Genomic DNA, 18,930 nt, shown 5'->3' with positions numbered 1-18,930 from the left:
CTCAATAGCAACATCTTGCATAATTATACAATATCACAACCAAACATTGACATTCATCCACCTTAATTTGGTATCTCCAGTTTTACATGCACTCATGTGTGTGTATTAAGTTCTGTGCAATTTTATCACATGTGTGGATTCTTGTGACAACCACAATCAAAATACAGAACAATTCCATCACCACAAAAATCCCCTTTATAAGCACATGCACCTACCACCCATCCTCCAAGCCCTGGCAGCAGCTGATCTGTGCTACCATCTCTATAATTTTGTTATTTGAAGGATATTTTTAGTTTACATTTCTCATATTCTAGAAATAACTAGAATAATTCAATGTAAAGTTTAGGAAGACCCTTACAGCTCTGTAGTTCACCCTCCCTTTCTTTACTTGAAGGAATCGTTTGACCACCATTTATTCAGCCTTTTTATTAAGCAAGGGAGGTGGCAGAGTTCACAGGAGACTAGAGCACAGTTAAGTCATGTCGTAGCTCTGCTATGTTCTAACTGTGCAGTCACTAAACCTCAGCTGCCCCAAATGTAAAATGAGATTAATAATCATAATGATCTCATAAAGTGGTTTAAAGTTTAAATGAAATAATGCATTGCAAACGTGCATCCAGTTACTTGAAACAAAGAACCTACTACCACACCTCCTCATTCAGTTTATCTCACAACTATACAATCAGAGCTTTTAGAAAGTTGTTCCTCCTTGAGAGTTGGAATTCTCTTCTTCCAGATTCTGCTCATTGGCTCTAATTTTACTTTATAAAGTCTTACAGAATTTATTGGATCCCTGTTCCACATGACAGCATTGTAGCTCATCAAAATTGAATCTTATGCTTGTCTCTTATCCATGCTCCACTTTCTTTAACTGATCCCCATATAATTCCGTGACTATAGAATTAAGTCTATCTGATTCACCACTGTCTTCCTCTCCTTGAACAGTGCCTTACTCACAGCCCCTACTCGAAAATATTTTAATTGATGACATGTTTTAGCATTCTTTTATTATCATGGTTGTCCAGTTCTAAGCATACTCCATTTGTCCAGTTTACCTTTTATTAAATGATAGTACCCCTGTATGACATTTATTAATCTCCCTATACAAAAACAAAGGTCACACCAAAACTGTGTCACCTCTGAGCTCCAACAACAACAAACATTGCATAGTGTTATTTCAAATATGAGAATAATAAACAGACTTACATACACACTTCTAGAACCAAAGTTATTCAATAATAGAGGAAATTCTCTATTTCTGGATAGGTTTCTAAGCATGCATATTGAGTCTTGGCTAGCTTTTTTTGGCTGGCTAGTTAGCTAAACCACTACAGCTTTCCACAGGAGCAGTCACCATAGCATCAATTGTTTCTTCTATATTGGTTAGAATTAAATCCAAAGGAACAGCACCCCTCCTTGCTTCCTCTACTTCTTGAGAAAAGAAATTGTCACAAACCAAGGAGAGGGCTGTCAGATGTTCTACTTCCAAATAAGTAAGCTCCCAGCATAAACTTGAAAAAAATGATTCTATTCCTTTTTCTGCATCTCCACTATTTCAGGCCACCATCATCTTACCTCAAAAATTGGCAACACCTTCTTATATGGTCTCTAGGGCTCTGTTTTTGCCACACTCCTATCCTATCCTCCACATTGCAGCCAGTGTGATCTTGCAGAAGCAAAAATCCCATGCTGTTTGCTTTTTTTCCCTTGTGGATATAGCCTGATCCCTCAGCATCCCCATTACCCTATATTTACTATGTTCTGTCCATTTCAAACATTTTTAATGCCTTAATGAATTTGTGTTTTTTATTGCTCCCTGACTTTTGAGAATGTATCCTCTACCAGAAATACTTTCCACCCAAATCTGACTTGTCCCTCAGTTCAGACATTCCTGGCTCCCGAAGGTCTTCCTTTCCTGGATCCAGAAGAACCCCAAATCCAGGCAAGATGCAGCCTCTCAAGGCATCTGGAGCTCCCCGCTTTGCAACATTCACCACGCTGCATTGTCATCACTTGTCTCCCCACTGTAGGCTGGGATAGGGTGGACGGGAAGGAATAACTATATTTGTCTTGCTTTTCTTTGCAGGCTCAGAGAATAGCAAATAATGGGGTCTATAAGAAGAGCTTCATCTCTGAAAATGAAAGGAATAACTTGTGAAAAATTATGATTGCCATTTTTATGTGTAATGAGGTGTATGTATAGGGAAAAGCAGTTTGATGTAATCCTGTAATACTTTTATAGGACATGTTCATGATGTAAATATTTTTCATGAGCATGCATTCTGATTCAAATGTTAGTTTCCAAACTAGTTTTAAGAATCCTTTCTGTCATACAAACATTTTGAATACAGTGCAAACAATTCTATATGCCTTGTGGGCTTTCCTTACACAGGGTAAGAGCTATGCATTATCTGCACTCTTTCCACTCCAATTACAGGCTTTCTGTGGGAGGCAGCTGGATGTTTGAACTCTCTCTTATATCATGAAGATCCAAGGAGTTCTGAGTTTGTGATTACCAAGAGGAATTGTGCCTTGAAACATACATCATTCCCCAATGGAATTGGACCAGTAAATGTTTCATTTATTTTGTAGTAAAATGATATTTTTCTAACAAGATGCAGTTGCCATCCAACTCATTCTAGGTCTCTATTTATATTTTCCTTGAACAGAAAGCTTTCGTTTGATTACTTTTCTTTGATGTTGTGCCAGTACCACAAGATAAAATTAGAAACTTTTTTAAAAGTCTCATTTCAGCTTACATTGTAGCAAAATTCCATGCCCTGTTAAAAATGAGTTGAAATGCCTCATCCCCTTATTGGTTGCCTTATTTTGTCCTGAATAAAGAAATTCTTGTAGCACCTTCAATAAAAAGAAGTCCCAGCAATTCTTATTTCTGTTTTGTTCTGGCAGTTAATGGAGCAAATGATAGAAAATTTACAGACATACACTCACAAGGATATTTACTGCAGCATTGCTAGAAATAGCAAACAACTAAAAACCATTAAAAAAGGAATAGATATATTACAGAACATCTATATTATGAAACATATGTAGTCACTAAAAACAAGTTAGATTAACATCTACAAACTGTGACTTGTTGTTGAGCGAAAAAATAAAGCTGAAGAATAATGTGTATAATACAATTCTTTCTGAGAGCAGCATGGCAAGTTGGTGAATATCCTATGCATCTCTGTAGACACATAGATGATAGATGATAGATAGACAGACAGACAGACAGACAGACAGACAGATAGATAGATAGATAACTGTTAACATTAGTTGTTGGGGAAGGTAGAGTTGGAAAAGGCATTTCTTTACACATCTGGACTATTTCCTTTCTTATAAACAATATGATTTCTGTTTGAAACAAAAAAATGTAATGAAAAATTTTAATGAAAAATAAATGATTAAAGCCCGGGCACGGTGGTTCACACCTGTAATCCCAGCACTTTGGGAGGCCGAGGCAGGTGGATCATGAGGTCAGGAGTTGCAAGACCAGCCTGGTCAATATGGTGAAACCCCGTCTCTACTAAAAATACAAAAAATTAGCCAGGCGTGGTGGCAGGTGCCTGTAATCTCAGCTACTCGGGAGGCTGAGGCAGGTGAATCACTTGAACCCAGGAGGCGGAGGTTGCAGTGAGCCAAGATCGCACCACTGCACTCCAGCCTGGGCAAAAGAGTGAGACTCTGTCTCAAAAAATAACAATAATAATAATTTAAAAAGAAAATGCATGATCAAAAAGAAAAGTATTATGAAGGGAAGCCAGGATTAATCAAGACTATCAATCTACTCATTCTGTACTCTCCCAATGTGAGTGGGTGTGCTTGTGATTGATGTCAGCAATATATACCTAAGGCATAGTCATCAAGAGGGTAGGAAAGGCAAAGGGAAAGAAGGCAAGAAGTGAATGACAATGTTAAAGAACAACAAAAGATTTCTTTAGCCTCATAGGCTGCTAGTCCCTCAGCTAGCTCTTCCAAGTATGCCAGTGATTCATTTAATCAACATGAACTGAGCACGCATCCTGTACAAGGTACTATGGAGTGCTTGGGGATAGGATGGTGAACAAACACACAGTCATCACTGGGTCTAGAGATGATAGTGCAGAGACAGGGCTCTGAATGGGGTCTGGGCACTGGTACAAATTGTCATGGGAGCAGGGAAGCATACAAGAACAATTTCATTATGGACCAAGGGACAGAAATAGAAAAAGAAATCACTATATTGAGTAAATTGCCAAGGATTTTTCTAATTTAATAGGTTTTCTTCACCTGAAAGATTCATTATCAACCCCCTTTCTAAACAGATAAGACACTTACTATGAATCAGATTGTAGGGAATGACACTAGAATGACAAGTTTACATTAGCCACTGCCCAGTAAGTTCAAGAAACATCCTTGTAAAAAGTGTATCTAGAAACCATGATAATACATTGTAAAATATAAAATAGGGACATTGGATGTTCTGGTAACATTTTCTTTCTCTGTTTAGAGAGTAAGTACATGAGTGCTTCTTTTATTTTTTTTCAACTATACATATACATTTCAATCACTTTTTGTAACATCACACATAAAAAAAAACAACAGAAAAGTAAATTATCTTTGAGAAAAAATTAACATTTCCATAATGTGCCAATTTAATTTGTATATCAATTCTTCTTAATGACATCTGGTAAAGATACACAATTTTTTCATTTTTTCCCACTAAATTATGCTGTTTCTACCTGCAATAATTCATTTAAGTAAGCAAAGCATGATTTTTGATGAAGTTGTAGAGAAAATGTAAACAAAGACCAAACATTAAGCGTGAAAATGAGTTCATACATCATGAATCCTCTAGTATTTATCTGTGAGAATATTTTGCTTGGACTTAGATAATGACAAGAAAAATGGTGAGCATACTAACAATGTCAAAACGTTTTGAATATTCAGCATTTGAACAAGTCCTAGCTGCTTTTGTTTTCTTTTGGGCCGAAGAAGGGTTGTCAAGGAAAGCTTTCTAGAAGTGGCCAACTTCCCCTTGAGAGGTCTCAAATGCTGACCCCCACAAAACACCAAAACTTCCTGTTGACAAAACTGAGTTTACTACCTGGTGCAGTGAGGTATGACATCCCTCAGTAGAACCTTAGTAGCATCTCAGAGAAGAGTAAATTTGGGATATGTATTAAGATCCTGACATCTGGTTTAAGATAAGACTTTCAATGCAGGGGGTTTAGCTAGCATTGGGTAAGTATCATGATAGAATAGTTAAAGATTGGTGGAAATAGCAAGGTGAGAATTTTCAGGCAAGAATTTCAGAGTCTTGAGATATAAAACCTTATTTTATGCTTATTTTTTTTTTTGAGACAGGGTCTCACTGTGTTGCCCAGGCTGAGGTGAAGTGGCACCATCATAGCTTACTGTAACTTCTAACTCCTGGCCTCAAGTGATCCTCTTGCCTCAGCCTCCTGAGTAGCTAGAACTACCGCATATGCGTGCCTCCACACCCTGCTAATTTTTTTATTATTTGTAGCGATCAGATATCACTATTTTGGCCAGACAGGCCTCAAATAGTCTTCCTGCCTTGGCCTCCCAAAGTGCTGGGATTACAGGCATAAGCCAACATGCCCAGCCTGATGCTTTCTGTTAAAAAATGTATAGGACTTTTAGGAAGTTCCTGGGATGAATAATTAAGTTTGTTACAACTGTTCTCTTTCTGAGCAAGAATCTTCTCGAATAGTAAAATTATGTTGATGAAGGTAGTGGAATAGTACAGTTATGTTAATAATTTTAGACAGTGAACTGCATGTATGGTTTCCATTCTCAGAGAGGAGAAAGTCAGAAACAGCAGGAAAGATGCATCGTCATTGCATCCACATGTCTAGACACTTAGTGTCATTTAGCCAGTGCCCAAGTAGACGGGCTAATGCCAGAGGGGGGACAAAACTGCTCTGTCATTGAGAATCATTAGGAATTTTGAAATCATACCCTCTTTCTGGGGCTCCATCTGGTCCTCTTTTCAATAAAATTAAAGGGCTATGCTAAGTAATCTTTTGGTGCTTCCATTGTCTGACTGTGGACAGACGGGAGATGGTTGTAGAGCAAGGACTCTAGAGTCAGATGATATAGGTTCACATCCCGCCTCTACCACTGAGTACCTTTGTGACCTTGTGGGATGCTTAACTTCTCAATGTTGCAGAGGTTTTCTCTTATTTTAATAACAGGATTAAAATCTAACTTGTTGAAGTATCTAAAAGTACTCTACCTCAGAACGATTGCTCAAATATCGGTGGTGGTGGTGGTAGTGGTTGTGGTGGTTACCATCATTAATATCATCAGTCTGTGGGCTCAGAGCTTTTGCTCAAATGTGGACCACTTAAAATATTTTAATTGGGCTCAGAGAGTTTTATCCTACATATCAGTTAACCCAGTATGAGATCCTGTGTATTAAGTTCAGATCGAAAAATGGTAAAGCATATAACTGAGAACTCCTTGTGATTAATGTGATTTGGATAAGCACAATGGAATAACATATTAAGGTCATCGATTTAAATTATTAAATGATATGAAACTCATAAAACAATTCTGAGAAAGATGTTTTAGAGAAAGATGTATGACTTACATACAGGCATGTAATTTCCAGGGTTGAAAATGTGTTGGTTTTATTAATTGGTCTGGTTTTTCTTTTTTTTCTGTCATGAAAATAGGTTGATTCTGTCTGATCTTAACCAGCCGGATTTGACACTGTAGAATTTGGTCAGTTCACCAAGTCCTTTCCTAATTCTGTGCCTGTCACTTTTCCGGGTCCAGCAGGCAGTTGCAGCCGTGTTTGCCGACTTGCAGAATCCCTGAACCTTTCTCACTGCTCTGGAAGTGGCTGAGAGAGCAGCAGGAGATATGTTGCCCATTGGGTTGGCGGCACAAGGAAGCATCATGGCCTCAATTGCTTTCTGAGGACCTGTCTACACAAGGTGGCAGTGGAAAATCAGAATGAGGGTTGAAGCTGAAAAGTGAATCACAGTTTAGGGAGAGTGGGTTTTACCCCAAAGTAGCTACATGTTAAAGGATATTTCTACCCATGTAGTGTAGATATACTAATCCTGTGATTTTTTTTTTTTTTTTTTGAGACGGAGTCTCGCTCTGTCGCCCATGCTGGAGTGCAGTGGCACGATCTCCGTTCACTGCAAGCTCTGCCTCCCGAGCAGCTGGGACCACAGGCACCCGCCACCACCACGCTGGCTAATGTTTTGTATTTTTAGTAGAGACGGGTTTCACCGTGTTAGCCAGGATGGTCTCGATTTCCTGATCTCGTGATCCACCCGCCTCGGCCTCCCAAAGTGCTGGGATTACAGGCGTGAGCCCCCGCGCCCGGCCACTAATCCTGTGATTTTATGGCTAGGCATAGAGGCTGGATTTCTGTGCTTGAGTCTACCAATGAACTCTTTTCACCAGTAAGATGAAAATCAGCTGAAATACAAATCAAGTGTTCAAGTTATGATTCTTTGTGTGGGGGACCATACTTTCTTCTCCTAGATATATTGGAAAGAAAAATGGAAGTAATTATGTATTTTTTTTATAAACCATTAAGACAATCGATGTAAAACTTGTCAAGGTAACTTAATTATACTATTATAGAATATTGGCAATTATTTGGTTAAATCTTCCACCCAGAGCAGAAATTACCTCTGTAATAACTACCTCACATTTATTTGGTTGAACATTTATTTCTACTTTTAATAAACTCAACACTTTATGAGCAGCATCTACCCTTATAAGCCAGTGTCAAAAAGTTCTTCCTTATACTAAGGCAGAATCTGTAGCTATACAACTTCTATTCTTACACCTATTTCTGCACCTCTGAGCTGCACAAAACACATCTCTTCCCTCTCTAACTTGATTTTCCCTGAAAAATTCAATTCATAGATAATTATTGAATATTTACTTTATGCCAGGATGCAAGAAGCTGGAAGAATAAGATAGAACTAGTCTTTGACCTCTTGGGATTTGGGAGTTTACCATGTTGTTTTCACCAGCCTCTTCTTCAGGTTTGACATCACTAATTATTTTTATTTCCCCCACATAACATATTTCTTACCCCAGGTCAAACATTTAAAACAAGAAACATAAAACTATGCATTTCTCCAGATGTGATTTGCCTAGTGCAAAGTACAGTAGCATGATTAACCAACTTATCTTTGCATCTCTATTGACATTGAAAGTAGGCCTTATGCACAGTTGAGTACTCAACAAATATTTATGAAAGACTCTGGATACCCCTTTCTCTTGTGGAGGCAATGGTTTCAATTCTTCCATTAACTTCTTATGTTTGGACATAACCATAAACTACGCATGATTAAAACAAATGCATGGGGAATAAATAGTGAACCACATATGACTTAGAAGTTATTTTCTTAAAGAAGAAATTATGTCTACCTTGCAAAATTCCTAGAAAATATTTACATTCACATGAGTCTTCTGCCACAGTGAAGGGAGATTTTTAACCTAAATGATTAAGGTTTTGAGGTAAAATGATTGAAGATATTTCCTGCCTCAGGGTGTGATTTATGATAGATTCATGTCTACTGCCTGTTGACTGCACATAGTTGTACTGGACTAAGGTGATCAGGTAAAAGTATTTCAAAAAATTATCACCTCACTTAGATTGGAAGCCTTAGGAAGTGCTGTGTTAACATATTCTCTCAACCTTTAGAATCCACTCTCCTGGACTACACACATACGCGAGCACGCACACACACACACACACACACACACACACACACACGGTATTGAAACTAGAATTCTTTCAATGTTGTATTCCCCATACTTATTTATGTCTCAAAGACTGATCTTCAAAGAAGACAGAGACTTCCAGTGTAAGACAGTTGAAAATATTTGGCTGTGACCAGCAACAAAAGGCAAACAAGTGTCAAAAAGGTCTTTGCTATTGTAAGGTGATTCTCTTTTACTGATCTAAACAAAAGGCTCTTCTCACTTCTCTATTTCCCATCCTGGTGCATTAACCATTTATATTTAATTAAGTCTTTCTTATATTTCTCAAACAGCAGTATTTATGCTAGTAAGTCTTAGCTTTTATAAGTTTATGAGCTTTTATTTTCTATGATGAACATTATTTAGTTTCAATAGTACTTGTAACACCTCTAAAAGCTCCAAATCATTTTTTTATTTTATTTTCTGCCTTTAGTAATATTGATGTCATCTTGCAATACAGTGTCTATACACTTTTTAAATAGCATGTTAATTCTTCTCTATGAATCATTTACAAAATTGACAGAATCAGAAAGAGCTCACCCACCAAGACCCACTAAAAGTCCCTCAGTCTGCTGAATTAATATTATGTTCTTATCCATGGAAATTTGAACTAACTTTAACATTGTATAACCATTATGGCATTTCTCAAAGCCTATGATCACCAGTAGCTATTAAGATGCTGTCAATTAGGCCAGAAGCAGTGGCTCATGCCTGTAATCCCAGCACTTTCAGAGGCCGAGGCAAGTGGAGTTCAGGTCAGGAGTTCCAGACCACCCTGGCCAACATGGCAAAAGCCCGTCTCTACCAAAAATACAAAAAATTATCTGCACATAGTGGCATGCACCTGTAATCTCAGCTACTTGGGAGGCCGAGGCAGGAGAATTGCTTGAACATGGGAAGCAGAGGTGACAGTGAGCCAAGATCATGGCCACTGTACTCCAGCCTGGGCGACAGAATGAGACTCCATCTCAGGAAAAAAAAAATGCTCTCAATTAAATGGGCTAGAGAAATCAAAATCTACTCATGTAGTGCTTGTAGAGATGATCTGTGCTGAAATGACACATTTTCAAAATCCAGAAACAAGTGCTAAGGAAAGACAGGGAACAAAATGGGCCTTTGTATTGGGAGTATGTCTTCTTTGAAGATGAGTTTTTGAGACATAATGAAGTATGGTGAATATGGCATATAAGGAATTCTACATCCAATAGCACGGTAAAGAGCCTGGCCAGCAGTAAACCCACACCTGTTAGACATTAACAATTAAAATAATCATTTTTTTCTCCTTGAAGAAAAATAAAAAATGAAAGATGATCATTTATGGAAACAATTTGTCAAAAAGATAAATTGCCTTTAGTTCTTTTGAGTTATGAAAAAGATGTCAGAAAAAAAAACAAACTATTTTTAACATTTCTCTTTAAATTATTGAATGGGTTTTGTTTCCCTCACTCGAAACTTGAATACTATGAACAAAAGTATGCCAAAGAACTTCTATTCTGATTGTGATTCTTTATATACTCCCTGTTCTCTCAAAGCATTATTTTAAGTTAGTGTTACCTCACCTTTAAAATATCAATTTCATTTGAAATAATACAATATAGTTCCTGTTGTTTTACGTTTCTTATCCTTACCTCAATTCTCTCTATAAATTCACTTTCTATTTGCAAGTCCTGATTGTCACAATCCAGCAATAACTCTTAAGTAAAAAGAGGATAGACATAATTTCTGATAAACTTAAATTTAGACAAACATACTTTGCTTTTAAAGCAGCCTGTCCACATGACTAAACCAGACAGAGTTAAACAGAGAGCAACTGACATCAATATTGGTGCTGACAGTAATTCAGGATACTCTTGGTGATATGGTTTGGCTCTGTGACCCCATCCAAATCTCATCTTGAATTGTAATCCCCAGGTGTTGAGAGAGGGACCTGGTGGGAGGTGATTGGATCATGGCGGTGGTTCCCACATGCTGTTCTCATGATAGTGAGTTCTCATGAGATCTGATGTTTAAAGTGGCAATTTTCCCTGCACTCTCTCCCTCCTGCTGCCATGTAACACGTGCCTTGCTTCCCCTTCACCTTCAGCCATGATTGTAAGTTTCCTGAGGCCTCCCCAACAATGCAGAACTGTGAGAAAATTAAACCTTTTTTCTTTATAAATTACCCAGTCTCAGGCAGTCCTTTACAGCAGTGTGAAAACAGACGAGTACACTTGGGCAGGAGGGAATCAAAAAGAAGGAGATTCAGGCTATGTGCACATTTTAACTCATAGCAAGGATTCAACTTCACATGAATGACAGGAAGAGCCTCTTCATGGAAGAAAGAAGCAAGTTCAAGTTTCTCATTAGTTCTGAAAATAACTTTAGAAGTCATTCAGGTCATCGCTTCGTTTTGACGTTAACAAAACTGAGGCCCAAGGAGGTGAAATTACTTGTCCCAAGTCCCACAGCTGGTTAGAGACGGATTAGAGCTAAGACCCAAGTCTTCACTCTCCCAGTTCAACACATTTTCTACTTCACAGTTACCAAATGAGGACAATTATCCTTAACAAATGACATAGGGTGGAGTTTTCCTTTCCTAAGTTCCCCAGAAAACTTCATAAAATGAGCTAGCAAAATAGAAGATCATCTTTATGACATAATATATCAAACGTATCTGCTGTATCAGCCGCACTCTGGCCCCAAGAACATCCATCCTGTCATCCTGTTGAAAACAATATTTTCTAACACAGCCATCCTTTGGAAGGAGGCCCAAGCCGAGGGTAAATATGTTGCATGCAAACTTCTCCAAGGCAAGGATCAGGCCTTCTATTTTGTTTTTTCCCAGAGGGCCTAGAATCATAACATGCATAAATGATTGATACACATTCCAGGCTTTGTTGGCAACATTTTTGAGCATTTTATGCTCCTTTATAATCAGATATTCTAATCCTGAAGTTTGACTGCCACTAAAGATTATGGAAGGAGAATGTTTGGGTTTCAGAAGTGAAGAATGGCCATGCTCTTGGATAGAAAGAATCAATGTCATGAAAATAGCCATACAGTCCAAAGCAATTTACAGATTCAATGCTATTCTTATTAAACTACCAATGACATTCTTCAGAGAACTAGTAAAAGCTATTTTAAAATTCATATGAAACAAAAAAAAAGAGCAGAAATAGCCAAGGCGATTCTAAAGCCAAAAACAAAGCTGGAAGCATCACACCACCCAACCTCAAACTATATCACACTACCCAACTTCAAACTATACCACACTATCCAACTTCAAACTTTTACAATAGTAGAAACAGCATGGTACTGGTACAAAAGCAAACACATAGACCAATGAAACAGAATACAGAACCCAGAAATAAGGCTGCATACCTACAACTATTTGATCTTCAACAAACCTGACAAAAACAAGCAATGGGGAAGAGCACCCTATTCAATAAATGGTGCTGGGATAACTGGCTAGCTATATGCAGAAGATTGAAACTGGACCCCTTCCTTACACCATATACAAAAATTAACTCAAGATGGACTAAAGATTTAAAGTGACCCAAAACTATAAAAACTCTGGAAGGCAACCTAGGCAATACCATTCTGGACATAGGAATGGGCAAAAATTTCATGATGAAGGTGCCAAAAGAAAGTTCAAGAAAAGCAAAAATTGACAAATGGGACCTAATTAAACTAAAGAGCTTCTGCACAGCAAAAGAAACTACCAACAGAGTGAACCGACAGAATGGGAGAAAATTTTTGCAAACTATGCGTCTGACAAAGGTCTAATATTCAGCATCTTAAGGAACCTAAACAAATTTACAAGAACAACAACAACAAAAAACACCCCATTATGAAGTGGGAAAAAGGAATGAACAGACACTTCTATAAAGAAGACATACATGTGGCCAACAATCATATTTTAAAAAAGCTCAACATCACTGATAATTAGAGAAATGCAAACCAAAACAACAATGAGATACCATCTCACACCAGTCACTATGGTTATTATTAAAAATCAGAGTATGACCGGGCACAGTGGCTCACGCCTGTAATCCCAGCACTTTGGGAGGCTGAGGCCGAGGCGGGCGGATCGCGAGGTCAGGAGATCCAGACCATCCTGGCTAACAGGGTGAAACCCCGCCTCTACTAAAAATACAAAAAATTAGCCGGGAGAGGTGGCGGGTGCCAGTAGTCCCAGCTACTCCGGAGGCTGAGGCAGGAGAATGGCGTGAACCCCGGGGGGCGGAGCCTGCAGTGAGTGGAGATTGCACCACTGCACTCCAGCCTGGGTGACAGCGAGACTCCGTCTAAAAAAAAAAATCAAAATATAACAGATGCTGGCGAAGTTGTGGAGACAAGGGAACACTTATACACTGTTGGTAGGAGTGTAAATTAGTTCAACCCTTGTGGAAGACAGTGTGGCAATTCCTCCAAGACCTAAAAACAGAAACACCAGTTGGCCCGGCAATCCTATTACTGAGTATATACACAAAGAAATATAACCTGTTATATCCTAATGACATATGCACATGTTCATTGCAACACTACTCACAACAGCAAAGACATGGAATCAACCTAAATGTCCATCTATGGTAGACTGGATTAAAAAAATTTGGTACATATACACCGTGGAATACTATGCAGTCATAAAAAAGAATGAGATCATGAGCTTTGCAGGGACGTGTATGGAGCTGGAAGCCATTATCCTTAGCAAACTAACATAGGAACAGAAAACCAAATACCGCATGTTCTCACTTATAAGTGGGAGCTAAATGATGAGAACACATGGACTCATAGAGGGGAACAACACACACTGGGGCCTATAAGAGGGTGGGGGGTGGGAGGAGGGAAAGGATCAGGAAAAATAACTAATGGGTGCTAGGCTTAATACCTGGGTGATTAAATAATCTGAACAACAAACCCCCATGACACATATTTACCTATGTAACAAACCTGCACATGTACCCCTAAACTTAAAACAAAAGTTAAATTTAAAAAATATAAAAAAACAAAAAAACAAAAAGAAAACAAGAAATGAAGGATGGACCTGGATTCCTCTGGCCCAGAATAACCAGTGGAGTTTTTCTCACCTTCTCAGTTTCACTGGAACTACTGTCAAGCTATTCTGTGGAGTTGGAGGTTGATGACATAACAAAAACATTTCAATAAAAATCACCAACACCACCTACAATATGGTAAACTCTGGCCCAGCTCTATGACAGACATCATGGAAGACAAATGCAATAGCTTTAAAACTAGACTAATCTGGATTCAGATCTCAGCTCCATCACCTACCATGGCAACCTTGGGCAAATGACTTCAGTTTCCCAGCCTCAAAATTGATTTATCTGTGAAGTAGGGATGATAATGTACCTCTCGTCAAACTGTTAAAGGAAATAATGTACACAAAGCATTCAGCATAGGCCTTGTACAAAATGTTTAGTAAATGACAGCTTTCACTGTGACACTGAAGCAGTTTATCATCCAGGGTTGAAGAGCCTGGCCTTGGCAATCAGAACAGATGCAGGCGAATTGCAGCTCCTTTCCCCAAAGGAAATGACCTTGGACAAATAACATAGCCTCTGTAAGCTTCAGTTCACTCATCTGTGAGGATGATAATACTTTTTCTGTCTATTCTTCTTCTTGTATGATTAATTGAGATAAATAATGCCTGGTACATAATGAAATATCAGCAAATAGCAATAATGTTATTGCTACCTCATTAAATCCTCACATAAGTCCCCTTATGGAGGTATAGTTTTCCCAGTTTATACACGAGAAAGTTAAAGCTCAGAGAGTTTAGGAAACTTTCCTAAGCTCAAGATGCTTAAGTGGCAAACTTGAGATTTGACCCAGGACCTAAATTGCCTCCAAAGTCTAAGCCTTTTGCAATACCAACCTTTCTCTTCTCACACCCCTTCTACTTGTTTCCAGGAAAGTTGTCAATCAACTTTCTCTTTCTTTTACTCCTGTGAGATTTTTCTTTATGCATAATAGAATCGTCTGTGGTAAAACAATAATATTAAATTTTCCAGTGGAAATTTAAGTCTTTTAGATCTTCAATCATACTGACATTTTTCTCCGGAATTCTAAATTATCTCCATTTCTTAAATTACTATGACACGTGTTAATGATTATCAAAGGCTCTGAGTTTGGTTAAGGCCATCTCCAAGTTTCCTCCGTTTCTATCATACTATGGAAAAAAACAGTTATAAGACATTTTAGTTCTGATCTAAGCCAAGTACATTTACATAACTTTCAGATAACCTAAGACAAATACGCAAATTTAAAGAAAATCATTACCTAAGGAATTTACTAGTATAATAAAAATGGTACAAAAAATTAAATAATATTATCTGCTAGCTGAAATTGGCCCCATTTTACTAATAGGAAATTTTGGTGGTAACACTAAGAAATGATTCATGGGATTTTGTTTTGTTTTTCACAGAAGCAGAGGGCACAAGTAATAGTTTAGATGTAAACTCTAGGCTTAGAAAGACCTGAGGCCAAATCCTAACCCTGAGAATTATTAGCTATGATCTGGAGCAAATTTACCTATTCTTTCTAAGCCTTGTTTTATCTTGGCAAAATTACTATAATAAAAGCATTTATAATATCAGGTGTATAGAAAAAGTTGGTTCTTAGAAAGCACATGTAGCAATGTCTGTATTCAATACACAGTAGCTATTATTTTTATTATTATACCATATACCCCAACCATTCCAATATCTCCTTAGTTTCAGAGTGTGGGATGCAATTCCGTAATCCAAAGGCACATTTGTAAGTCACAGAGCCAGTCAGTTAATCATTTACCTGAGTTTTTTCCTTCTACTCTATACCATTTTGAATCATGTCATTGGTAGTTTAAACCAAGAAAAACCCATGAGCCATTAAGGCTGTAAGAGTATTCGTGCCCATATTGCACCAAAATAACTACTCAAATTGATTAATTTGATGATCCAAATGGTAAGTTTATTTCAAAACAAAATTAGAAACTTAACTAAACTGGGCAGTAAAACTTGGTCTCAGCAGTCCTCTGACTGGCTAGACTGAAAATGCCACACGGTTTTTTGTTTTATCTCATACCCGAAGTAGAAACATCTCTGTTTCTCCTTTTGACAGACAAATCTGGGCATCTATAACATGTTGGCTTTATATTCCACTCTTAGATTCTATGGAATATATCCAATTCTGTGGAATATATCAAACCATCTTCAAAATGCATCCATGCCTAAAGACATGGTGGCTTGTAACTATACTGTGTAATGCGTGAATTTATTCTTGCCTCTCTCCTTGGGGTATCTGTGAGGAAGTCCATTTAATAGCTGGGTCAAAGTACATAGAAATATGGGCAACAATAATGGCAGCCCCTGCCTCTGTAGAACTGGTGCAGGGAGTCCTAGACCGTCTTTGCTGGGGAGGACACAAGCACAAGTGCTACCTCCCTGCATTCCTCCCAAGGGTCAGTGGCTCCTGAGGGCAGCTCAAGAACGCTGTCCTAAAAGTGGGCTGAATGAGGGGAAGGCAGCCCTCAGTGCTGCCTGAATCCCCATTTTAAGAATCTTTCCGATGTCTACGTCTCACAGCCTCTTCTCTCCATCTCCATCACCACCTCCCTGATCCATGCCCCTGCAATCTATTCTCCACATTGCAGCCCAAGAGGACATTTAAAATGCAAATGTTATCAGGTTCATTCTTCTGTTTCCAATCCCTCAGTGGCCTCCTCTGACTCTCAGGATCCAGATCAAACTTCCACAAGCAGACCCCAGGCGCTTCCTTCTCTAAAGCCCGCCCGTCGACAGAGCCTCCGCTCTGCTCACCTCTAGTGTGAAGGCGCACTGCCCAATTTCTAGGTTATCAACCCCCTCAGGGCATTCACAGTCCATTTTCTCTACCCAGGAGCTTTTCCTTCCCCGCACCCCAAATTTTCTGTCACCCAGCTACCTTCTATAGGCCTCAGTTTAGTCACTTTTACTTTCATTAAAAAGCTTTCCTGATTCCGGCAGATCAGATTAGGATCACCCTTAGCACTCTATACCTCTTCTGAAACCTTTATCACAAATACAATTAATGAGTTAAGAAATTACTAAATATCTGTCTTTCCCAACGGAATGTAAGCACCACAGTGTTCTCCAGTTCCCTTCTCTGTTCTCAGCTCCTAGCACAGCTCCTATTTGGTTCAACACCCAGCACAAGACTTCTTACCATGCTCAACGAGAATTAACTAAGTGCACAAATGAAGTAATGAATGGATGGAAGGATGAACAGTGAATACGGAGAGAAGCCTCCATCTGACCAGTCTCTCTCATATCCAGGCTCAGCAAGCACGGACTTGATGACTGAGATTGAAAAGTGACAGCCTGCATTATAATCCAGTGCTTGCACATGCAGCGTGGAAGCTGGGGGGTCTCACAGATCCCACCCCTGCCCCCTAGCTATACTCTTACAAGTGTAAGCACCCTTGTCACACCAGGAGATCTCACCTCCCTTGAGACCAGGGACTATGAAAGATCACTTTTTTCCTGCATCATACCTAGCCCAGCCTTGCACATAGTAGGTACATGAAAATGTTTGATAAATATATTTTAAAAATACACAGATAGTTGTTTCTTCTGTACCCTGGTGAAGGATATAACAGCCTCTTGGCGCTGAACTATTCATGTTTCAGTTTCCCCATCACTAACTCATTTTATCCCCCTTTCAAGCTAGGCATGCAACAGACCCTCTCCCTTCCTTCTATTGATGCAACTACAATGTATCTGAAGCACTTTTAGTGCTTGGAAAGAAACAGAAAGTTTATAAAGACACAATTATTATAAATAGTATGGACTTTCTTTCACATCTCTTTGAATATAGATTCTTAGAGCAAATATTGTAAGAATATTAAAAATAAATTTCAAAATCTGTTAGTTTCAAGACAATTCCTCATTCATTCCTAACTATTCCATCTTGTATTCATATTTATGTTTTAATTCAGTTGGAGGCACTCCTTTCTCAACTAAGCCACCTAATCACATGAAAGATCATAAAACCAGTTAGAAGCTCAAATATTAAGAAAGAAATCAAGGTTAAAACATATATGTCTTCTGCCTATCTAAATACCCATAATTACTGTGATGATAGACAGCATTTAAGTGGGATTCTATAAATCAAAAGAAATATGTGCTGTCTTAGCAAATTACTGTGAATAGTCATGTCTAAAACCAAACAAAACAGTGCATTTTAAGCTTCAGTTACCATCTTGTATTTGACAGAAAAAAATCTAAGTTTTCAACTGAGCAAAACTCCTATAGAGCCATTTTTCAAAGTGAAGAATGAAACGTGAACTAAACTTGGAAGGAAAAAATATGCAAAAATAAAATGAAAATGTAAAGTAATTCAGTGTGAGCACACACACACCACACACACACACACACACACACACACACCTCCAGTATCCAGAAACTGTAGATAAGATTTGATCTTCAAACCACACACAATAAAAGCACCAAGCAGTCCTCCTGCATTCTGCTGGAACCCAGCAGAAGTCCTGGATGAAGTTTACTTTTCTGTTTTATTCATTTAAACTATGGCAGACCTCAAAAGGAACCCAGGAAACTGTGAAACCCCTGAACTTGAACTGAAGGAAGCAGGATGAAAAAACTTCTTTCCACAAAGATCAAGAAACGGAAAGAACTGTTTACATAACTGGGTTCAAGCTCTGCTTTATTCTCTGTTCACCCTGCTATCTCGGCTTGCATGCAGCACGCAGGCTTTCATCATGGGCCGTATTCTCATTAACTGGAGTGGCCACATGTGGGGTGAAGTGTGGGGCCTTTGACATAAAGGAGATTGCTAACCTGCTCAAGGTGACCCCTTGCTGGAAATTCATGGCGTAGCCCTTAACATCAACTCATGGTTTGAAAAGATTTATACTGTAGCATGCATATTACAATAATACATGCCAAGAACATAGTGCTTTTGTTGGGGAAAACAAGGTTATCATTGGTAGAAAAGCTCTATTACAAGGCCTTTAAATAGAAGAATATATCTGTCAAATGGAGAGCATGGTCAGTAAACAAGAACCCTTTGGGTATCTCTGTTATCTATTTCAGTCCTGGAAATGATTAGCAAGGAGAGATGAGAAATGAAAAGAAAAAGGTTATAGAGTGTTTCCTAAGCATGAGATAAGTGCTTTATGTGCATATTCTCATTTCATCCCAC

Source organism: Homo sapiens, chromosome 5 (genome assembly GCF_000001405.40).
Source record: "Homo sapiens chromosome 5, GRCh38.p14 Primary Assembly".
In the NCBI taxonomy this organism is placed as follows: Eukaryota; Metazoa; Chordata; class Mammalia; order Primates; family Hominidae; genus Homo; species Homo sapiens.
This window is presented reverse-complemented; position numbering follows the sequence as displayed.